This window comes from Homo sapiens, chromosome X (assembly GCF_000001405.40).
Source record: "Homo sapiens chromosome X, GRCh38.p14 Primary Assembly".
NCBI lineage: Eukaryota > Metazoa > Chordata > Mammalia > Primates > Hominidae > Homo > Homo sapiens.
In genome coordinates, this window is record NC_000023.11 from 155,870,992 (window position 1) to 155,881,344 (window position 10,353).

Genomic DNA, 10,353 nt, shown 5'->3' on the forward strand with positions numbered 1-10,353 from the left:
AAATGCCACCAGAAGGGAATCAACTTAATAGGGGAACAAAATTTCATCAGAAATGATAGAAAAGAAGTTTTATTTGGGACTTTAGAAAACTAAAACCAAAAATTATTAAATTAAGCTTATTTAATCTTATTTTAATTTAAAATATTTAAATTTAAAATAATTTAAATTTTAATTTAAAATATAATTAATATAATTATATTAAAATATAATTAATTTAAAATTTAATTTTAATTGCAGCTATGCAATAATTTTTAGAATGGACAAAGAATGAAATAAGAACTATTTGAGGGATTTGGGGTAGTTCTCTGATAAAAGTGTTGAATGATACAGTATCCTTTACCTCATAAATAGGGTTATTTTTACCAAAACGTTTGAACAATTCACTGTTTCCTCCAAAGGTCTCTCATTAATTGGATATTCAAAATACCCATCACTCATCATCCAAGTGGATTTTTTTCACTTCAACTTAACTGATTTAAATCGTTTTTCATTGGCTTTGACATATTGAAATAGTTATCCAATACCACTTTCAACTTTATGAAATCCTGTGTATTTTCCAAGATTTATAATTCTACATTGCAATTAATTTCTTTTTTTTATTGTTAACATTCAATAGTCAACAGAGGACCAGTGATATGATGGACAATAATACGTGCTATTGTTTAGCAGAAAGGGGTTTTTGAGGAGGACTAATTTTATAAGTGGTTAATTTACTGGTGAAAATTTCTATGGTATAAGGGACTTTTCTTTACTATACATCATAACTTATAAGCACTCAGAAAAAAATTAAAAATAATTGTATATACACATACACACATGCACATGTCTACACATGTATATATAAAGTCTTGTGAGATAGAGGCCCCAAATTGCAGGATGAAAGTTGATTTTTATATTTTTCTTATTTCCTGTGACATTTTCTGATTTTTTTCTTATTTCCTGTGAACATTTTTTGATTTTTCTATTACTGGTCATGCATGACTTGTATAAATAAACTATCATGACTTATTAAATGAAAGTAGGCTTTGAATAGTGTTTGAAAACAATGAGGTTTATAGTCCCTGTCTGGTGACAGCTTTCATTTGCATTTGTATCACAAACTGTCAACTGAAATTAGACCTTGGTAGTCATGTAATTCTAGAGTCATTAAGCCCAAAATTACAGGGTACCAGTTGCTAGGGACAAATAACAGACTTGAAACTACAATATGAGAGATTAAGGTTATATTTACTAAAGAATATTCTGACAGTTCATGTTGTTAATTCTGGAAGCATGACTGCAAACTGAAAAATCTGACTCCAGTTTAGAATTAAATCAAATCCCATTTTGAGATTTGAGGATTAAATAAATAGGTTGTCATAGTCTCTGCTTTTTCAGCATTTTCTAAACCATGTTGCTTATCAGAATCATCTGGGTCTCTTGCTACAAATACAGATCCTCATGTTGCACCCTCAAAAATGTGACTTTGTAGGCCAGGAATATCAGCTAACCATAGGTGATTCTGAAGTAGCTTATCGATACAACCGTGTTTAGGAATCAATGTTTTAGGCCAATGGTTCTAGGAAGAAATCACCAAGCCCTTGGTGAATGAACATTTACACTCACTTCATGATCACATAACAGAGAGTTTCCTAGGGTATGGTCCTCTTTGGGCAATACAAATTGTGATACAATTTCTACTTGTATCAACTGCCTATCCTTCCCAACCAAAAAAAAAGTGAGAATCAACAGTGTTACTCCTCAGTATCAAGCACCAAAAAATAGAATGCAGCAAAATTTGAAAGGGAAAAGCAGTCACTTAAAGCAAACCTTTTGTCAGACTCCAATACATCCAGATCATAAAAAATTTAAAACTGAAAGAATTCTTAGACCAGCTAATTCAACCTCATAATTTTACAGATGAGAGTCAGAGAAATGAAGTCATATGATAGTGGCAGAGTTGTTACAAAACCCAGGACACAAGTACTCTTACACTTGTGTGTTTTTCCACTTTACCATGTATTTAATGAATCCATTATGAATATTATTGGAGTTCCTTGAGAGCATGTATCTCTACTACTTAGCACACTTCCTGGCACATGATGCCTGGGTAAAAGTTTGTTGAATTGAATGCTCTGTTTAAACTCCAAGTAGTAAAAATTAAAGTCATGGTGATAGCTTCTAAACATATTTACCTAGAATGTTGGCCTTTCTAATTTGTCGGAGTAAAGCTGTGTGAATAACTCTCTCAATAAATCTGGGACAACTGAATTATGTTGCCTTAATGACTGAAAAAAAGAGAAGTCCCTTTTGTGGGATTTACTACGTAAGTAGTGACGTTTTCCCTATTACATCTCTGCCCCCACTCATCCTTGAAGATGCAGTTCGGCTGTGAAGTCAGCTTGCTGTGAAGTCAGCTTGCTGTGAAGTCAGCTTGCTGTGAAGTCAGCTTGCTGTGAAGTCAGCTTGCTGTGAAGTCAGCTTGCTGTGAAGTCAGCTTGCGCTTGGCCACAGAGGAAGCTGCATTGTATTAATATAAAGGGTACTTTGGAGACAAAACAGAGTTGCATTTGATTTTCAGCTTTGCTATTAAGGTACTTAACCTCTTTAAACCTAAGTTTTCTCACCATTGTTCACTATATCCTTAGATATATCTACACCATGGACATGTCTATGGATTGTTTTTAAAATTCTACTTGTTGCTGGAATTTCAAGAAATGGACTTCAAGATGATACTACCCAGGATTGTTGGAATATTCATTGAAACCATGTATATTTTTCAAAAAACAGAATGTAAGAAATCTTGCCTGACATATAAGGGGAACTCAACAAATGCAGTCTCCAAGAGGACAGGAACTTTGTTTTGTGTACTGTTGTATTAGTGCCTTGGACATAGCAGAAACTCAACAAATAATGCTCATGTGTTTCCCTTCCTTCCTCTGCCTACTTTGTTAATAAAATATATTTCATATCAACTATCATTGTATCATGCATAAATATTCTTCACGTCTCTTAAATTTGTGTGACTTTCCATTATACTTAGAAATTTACTGTCTTCTTACGAAAAGTATTTCCATCTCTCAACAAAGTTAATGATCTGCACAGCTGTGTCAAGAAGATGTAGTAATGTTCAATGTAGGAAGATGAACAATTTGAAAAACACACACACATTCCCTGATTTCATTCGTGTCACATATGGACTCATGGCTTTCAAACACTCAAACATAACATGAAAACCATTACCTTCGCATTCGAGCTACCTGAAGTTTTTGTTTTTTTCCTTACAGGGAACCACCGCAAGCACAGATTTGAAATAAAATTGAGGGCAGTAGTATCAGGAAAAAAATCGTTGGGAATGTGTTGGAGAGAGTAAGGGTCCAGCAGGCAGCTGCGTTCTGGCTGGACTTGCAGTCCTACCTCCGTGGCCCCAAACTCGGGGGTGATTTAGAGCAACGCCTTTGGGCCTTACTGTTTTAGACTATGGGGGTGCACTCCATCGGTGGTTTTCCCCCATTATTTTAACCACAGTCTCCTTTCTTTCAGAGAAGTGCTCCGTGTGAATCTCGAGCTGGGTGGGAGGAGAAAAAAGAAAACCAAAGCCAATCTGGTCTCCTTGCATCTCGAAAAAGGTCACACGATCCGTCGCTTTGCCGCCGCTCTCCGGAGTCCCGGGCCACGACCTCGCATTCAGAAGTCACGTTCAGCATCTAAAGGTAGCGGTCCTCGAGTCCACTCCCCGCTGGAGTGAAGAGAACAACGGGGAGGACGCCTTCCCAGAGCAGCTGCCGCCGGTCCCTGTCCCCGGCTCGCTTCAAGCTCTGCAGCTGCTGGGGCATTTCTGATGAGGGCCCTGGGAGGTACACTCTGAAACATTCCGCCCCTTGCTAGTATTTACTCACTGTCTTCCAACCTTTTTGCTGTGGAATGCGTGCTCCATGCTCCCTGTCCCCATCTTGGGAGGAGGCAGGAACCGAGATGAAGGAGGAGCGCAGAAGCAAACACTTTATGTGCCCAACTGGAACTGTTCGCTTTGGTCAACCAACACTGATTGCTCATTCCTCTGTGTTCCCTCTTAAACAGCTTCTGAAAATTGCTCGAGAGGGGCGGAGTCAGGAAGCCAAGAGCGTGGGAGGCAAATCTCAGCCCCCTCGCTGTCTGTGAGGCTAGAAGCCTCGGTTTTCCTTATCTGGAAAAGGGGGTTGCTGATAATAATAATTACTTCACACCATTACTGCGATGATTAAATGCAGTAATATATATCTATCTTAGAATACTGTTTGGTACTGAGGAGTGTTAGCCCTTGTCATTAGTATGCATTCTGTCAACAAACTGTAATTGAGCACAAGCTCTGTGCTACCCTGAGGAGATAAGAGTGGTGAACAAGACTAATAACGTTCCTGCCCATATGAAATGTATATCCTAATGATGGTAAATGAAAAATAAGCTAGTAAACAATAAAAACATAATTATTTTAATTATCATAAGAAAATAAAACAAGAAAATATGTACAGAGTGAACATGTGGCAAGTGGCTAATGAAAAGCCAGTGGTCATGGAAAGTCCATCTGAGGAGGGGCCTGAATAACAAGAAAGACATGCACACAGATCTGCAGGTTCAGCATTCAGTGCAGAGTAAACAGCTGACGCAAAAACTCAAAGGTGAGTGCATGCTTGGTCTGTTCCAAGGTGAAAATCATGCACTTATTACATGACAATGACTTAAAGATGTATTTCTATCCCTGCACATGTAGGGACAATTTATATGGGCATCTTCATTCTCGCCAAGAGTTGGAGAACGGGAAAGATATGGGAACCTGTCCCAGCTGTTTTCTCATTATTAAAGTGATTGATGACAAAGATCAGTATATGCGCAGAGAAACAGATCCAGCACCTTTCACCAACAGATAATTCGTTAAATGCTGAAGGATTTTTAGCCAAAATCCTGAACAACTGGAAATAAGCCAAGGCGGAAAAAAATCTAATGCCAAGTTACAGACCTTTTTCATGAGGACACCAGTTTTGTGGTTTACCATTCCATTAGAGTATGCATTCTTTTTTAAAAACATTTATTTAATTTTTAAATTTTAGATTCAAGTGGTATGTGTGCAGGTTTGTTACAAGGGTATATTGCATAATGCTGACTTTGAGCTCCTAGTGAACCCATTGCCCAAATAGTGAACATAGTACCCAATAAGGTAGTTTTTCAGGGGAAAGAAACTGCTCTATTAAAAAGAAACCTTGCACTCATATGTTTATTGCAGCACTATTCACAATAGTAAAGTCATAGAATCAACCTAAGTGCCTATCAACGGTGGAGTGGATACAGAAAATGTGGAACATATACACCATGGAATATTAGGCAGTCATAATAAAGAATGAAATCATGTCCTTGGCAGCAACATGGATGCAGCTGGAGGCCATTATTCTAAGTGAATTAACATAGAAATAGAAAACATAGGCCATTATTCTAAGTGAATTAGCAAAGAAAGTGAAATTAACATAGAAATAATTTCTATGTTAATAGGAATTAACATAGAAATAGAAAATCAAATACTACATGTTCTCACTTATAAGTGAGAGCTAAACAGTGGGTATACATGGACATTAAGATTGAAATAAGAGTATGGATTATTAATATCAATCAAAGAAGAGAACCAACAGATGGGAATACCCTCATTTTATGCTTAGAACTTTGAACTGGAATTGTTCTTAATTTTCCATCAAAATTTTAAGAGAAGATAATTTAAAAAACTGTGCTGTCCTTCAGTTTCATCATTTTATGTCTTAAAACTAATCACTCAATATCTGATAGCAACAGTATCTATCTCAAAGTCATTAGTATACCTTGGTTATTAAGATAATTCAAATTAGCCCTTCCAGTGAAGTTGACATCATCTTTGCTATTTTTAGAAACTTTGAAACTTAAGAAAATGAGTTGCTTCTTCACTGCTACACTTCCACTTTCTGCACCAAGCCTTGGGCTTGCCCTTAGGCTTTCCTTTTTAGAATGTTCGTTTTCTGTGAAGCAGGCCTTTTCTGTTACTCTCCATGCAATGCGTTAGTTGTGGCTTTAAAGAGAAAAATTAGCTCCCAGTTTCTCCAGAGCTACAAGTTACTCGGTAAGAAAGAGAAGTCAAAAAGTGAAATAGTCTCAGAATTTGGAGTTTCTATATGAATATTCCATAGGTTTCTTAAATATTAGGAAAAGATAAAAAGACAAGCAGCCAGGGGAGGTGAAATTGGTAACAGAATGAGAGGAGCAAAACATGCTAACTTAGTAAATAAAACACTTGAATAACTTTGCCACATCAGAGCAGGTATTTCTATATCTGCATGCTCACGAGTTTTTAGAAAAGGCTAATGAAACTGCTCTCCAGATGGGAGTTGATGTCAAGTCTTATGGCAAGTGACAATGCTTTTGGCATTATCACAATATCATGTCACTTCACCTAAAAGGTGAAGAATCTACAATAACTCTGTTTGCTGAAGATCTTGAAAGTAGGAAGTGAAATCTGAATAGAGATACCCATGGGGCACATCTACTACACCTCTGTAATCTGCAACCAAACCAGAGGCATTCTCTGACAGAAAAATATTTCTTTGGACAAAAATAAATATATAAAGAGAGTTGGGTCATCAGCCTTCTTTTGCCAGAGTGCTGAGAAGAACAAGAAATTTAAATAATCTATATGAAGAATTTAAAATTTCCTTTATATACACAATTTAACTGTGTGCATATAAAATTAACAAAAATGCACTGATATCTAGCAGGTTGTTTAGGGAATGGCTCCTATAATTAGAGAGAAAAACGGCTTGCCAGAACGTGAACACTCTATTACCAATAGCTGCACATAGTCATTGAAGGTTTAAATCAAACACATCTGTGGCCTTTAAAAAAATTTTTTGCCTGCCAGCACCATGGCTACAAGCAGCTATTAAACTGAGATATAATAAATAATCAAAATGTGGATGCTGGAAGTGCTTGACACATTATGAGAAGCAGTGTTCCTATCACAGATATAAAGAAATGGCATGTTCTTGATGTAATGAGAAATCTTACTACTATGTGGAACACAGACACCTCGGAAGTAATTAGCTGGGGATGGTGGCACGTGCCTGTAGTCCCAGCTACTAGGAAGGTTGAGGCGGGAAGATCGCTTGAGCCCAGGAGTTCAAGGCTGCAGTGAGCTGTGATCGTGCCACTGCACTCCAGCCTAGGCAACAGAGCCAGACCTCATCTCAAAAAAAAAGAAAAAAAGAAAAAAAATAATTATTCACAACTGCTTTGCAAAAGTTCATGTTAGAACCACAGATGGCTCAGATGAACAAAGGAAGATATGTGACGACTCTAACTGGAATAAGCTGCAACCAAAAATATGTCCCATACTCAAATGTCAATTATTTTATAGCTATTGATAATGTGTTAGTTCCCTCTACGGATTGTGAATTTCAAAAGAGAACAGGTATCCTTGATGTAGGTCTGTTTTCAGCATAGTATAAGAGGAAGAAAAGTTGCCTAAGTCCAAACATCCAGGAGAAAAGAAGCATGAACAGCAATGGCAATCAGTGATACACTGCAATCATGTGATTTTGATTCAAAAGCAACAGAATCACTAGATTTGTTTGTAAACCACAAAATAACACATCACGTGAAGCTGGAAGCCATTATCCTCACCAAACTAATGCAGGAACAGAAAATCAAACACTGCATGTTCTCACTTGTAAGTGGGAGCTAAACAATGCGAACACATAGACACAGGGAAGAGAACAACACACACTGGGGCCTGTCGGGGTGGGGTTGGGGGAGGGAGAGCATCAGGAAAAATAGCTAATGCATGCTGGGCTTTAATACCTAGGTGATGGGTTGATAGGTGCAGCAAATTACCATGGCACACATTTACCTGTATAACAAACCTGCACATCCTACACATGTACCCCAGAACTTATAATAAAATAAAAATAAGTAGGATAGAGGACAAACTGCTAAATCTAAGATGCATATTTGCAGCACTGCCTAGCATAGTAATAATTTAGAACATCTGGCAGCCCTTTAAAAGTCAACAGACTGCTTTCATCTCTGTTATCTCATCTGATCGTGCTAGGGCTTGGTGGATAGAATTATCTCCATTTTACAGGGGAGAAAACTAAGGCTCCAAGATTTAGTAACTTACTTCAGTCCCATCAAGGGAGAACTGGATCAGATTCCTGATCCAATTGCCAGGAGGCAAACCCTGATCCAATTGCCAGGATCCAATCTTGATCCAATTGCCAGGAGGCAAATATTTCTGCTGTCCCACTGGAATATAGGGCTTTCCTGGCCTGCCCTTCTAGGGTCTGCATTTGCCAGCCCTAGGATGAACACTTATACAGGAGCTATTTCTAAATGTCTAGATAGCCATGTTTATCAGTGCCCCACCATTCACTATGGTAACCCTAGATGCTGAAAATAACCATATTAAGGAAATTAGCCTGTGTACATTCACTCTCGTCATCATCTTGGTTTTGGTGGGTTTTGGCTGGCTTCTTTACTGCAGTCTGTTTTATCAGCAAGATCTTTATGACCTGTATCTTGTGCTGACCTCCTATCTCATCCTGCGACTTAGAATGCCTTAACTGTCTGGGAATGCAGCCCAGTAGGTCTCAGCCTTATTTTACCCAGCTCCTATTCAAGACAAAGTTGTTCTGGTTCACATACCTCTGACAGGGAGGCCTCAGGAAACTTACAATCATGGTGGAAGGCAAACGGGAAGCAGGCACATCTTACATGGCCAGATAATTACACTACAAATTTTAGGGTATAAATAAGATTACTTTAGGAGAGAATATGGAGTAAGAGGGGGCTTTGCTAGAGTCCTGAAAGCTCTAAAGAGAGGCGATATTTAGAGTTCACACAGCTTAGTAACTCAGATCTCTCTGACTCTAAAACTCATTCTTTTTCTAGGATACTATGCTGCCTCTTAAAGAATAGATATTGAATACAATATAATTAAGTTGATATTAATACCAAATGCGAACCTTTGCAAAGGGGAGATAAAGCAAGGGGAATGATTAAGATCACCAGGAAGAGTGTGAAGAGTAAGAAGAGAAGATGGCATAGGGCAGAACCCTATGGAATGTGAACATTTCTAAAGAAAATGAAGAGCTGCCACAGAGGTGGGAGGAGAACCAGCAGGGTGTAGTTCTTGGAAAGAGCTAACAGAATAAAGGGGTTCAAAAAGGAGGGAATAAGGGCCGTGTGTGGTGGCTCATGCCTGTAATCCCAATACTTTGGAAGACTGAGGCGGGTCGATTATGAGGTCAGGAGTTCGAGACCAGCCTGGCCAATATGGTGAAACCCCGTCTCTACTAAAAATATAAAAAATTAGCTGCCTGTGGTGGCGCACGCCTGTAGTCCCAACTGCTTGGGAGACTGAGGCAGGAGAATCGCTTGAACCCGGGAGACGGAGCTGGCAGTGAGCCGAGATCGCGGCACTGCACTCCAGCCTGGGCAACAGAGTGAGATTCCATCTCAAAAAAAAAAAAAAAAAAAAAAGGAATAATGAAACTAAAGTCCTGCAGAGTTGAAATACGGTAATGGCTTAAAAGTATCTATTTGTTTTAGCAACACTGTTGAGAATTCTGTCTGTAAAGGAGAGGTGAGAGAAAGACCACTAGCTTATCTGTGTTTGGTCTGTGTTTGATGAGGGGGCTTGGGGTATGGGGTTAAGAAAGGTGACTTTGGAATGTTTTAGATGAGAGAAATTTTGACAGCCTTTAAGTCCTGATAGTAAAGAGCGAGTTAGCAGAGAGCCGTTGAGGAGTCATGCAACGGAAGGGTTCATCAGAGGAGCTTGACTCTGAGTCGGCAACAGGGAATAGAGATGGAAGAGGGCTGGCTTAGATCAAAGGAGAGTAGTCGTTTATTATTATTATTATTGCAAAAAGAATAGGAGAAAGGATTGGTGAGGGGTACAAGAAAATTAGAAAATTTCATGGCGAAAGTAGAGGCAGTTCCTGTCAGATGAATTCTATTTTGTCTGTGAGGAAACGGGCGACGCTGCCTACTGAGACTAAGCAGGAGAGACGGGGCAAGCTTGGCTCTTCATTTATGCCGCCTACTCATTGCTGGTAGATTCTTTATCTAGCCTGCATCCTCTCATTTTCCTGGATCCCTATACGGCATTTGACGCTGTTTACCACAAGAGCTGTCGAACGAACGTGAAACACTCAGTGATACTCCAACCGGAACTACTACTCCCAGAATGCAGTACGGCTCCTGGGAAGTGCGGGGGGCTGGGAACGCAGCAGGCCTAGCCGTGTCGCCTGCTGCCATTGGAGGAGCGCTCCCACTCCCAAGAGGCCACGCGTAGACGGGGCGCTTCATGCGGAAGTCAGC

The 10,353-nt window shown here is 39.1% G+C and overlaps 1 pseudogene; it reads left to right on the forward strand.

Annotated features, from left to right (window-relative positions):
- Positions 4,645 to 4,894, forward strand: DPH3P2 (diphthamide biosynthesis 3 pseudogene 2; annotated as a pseudogene).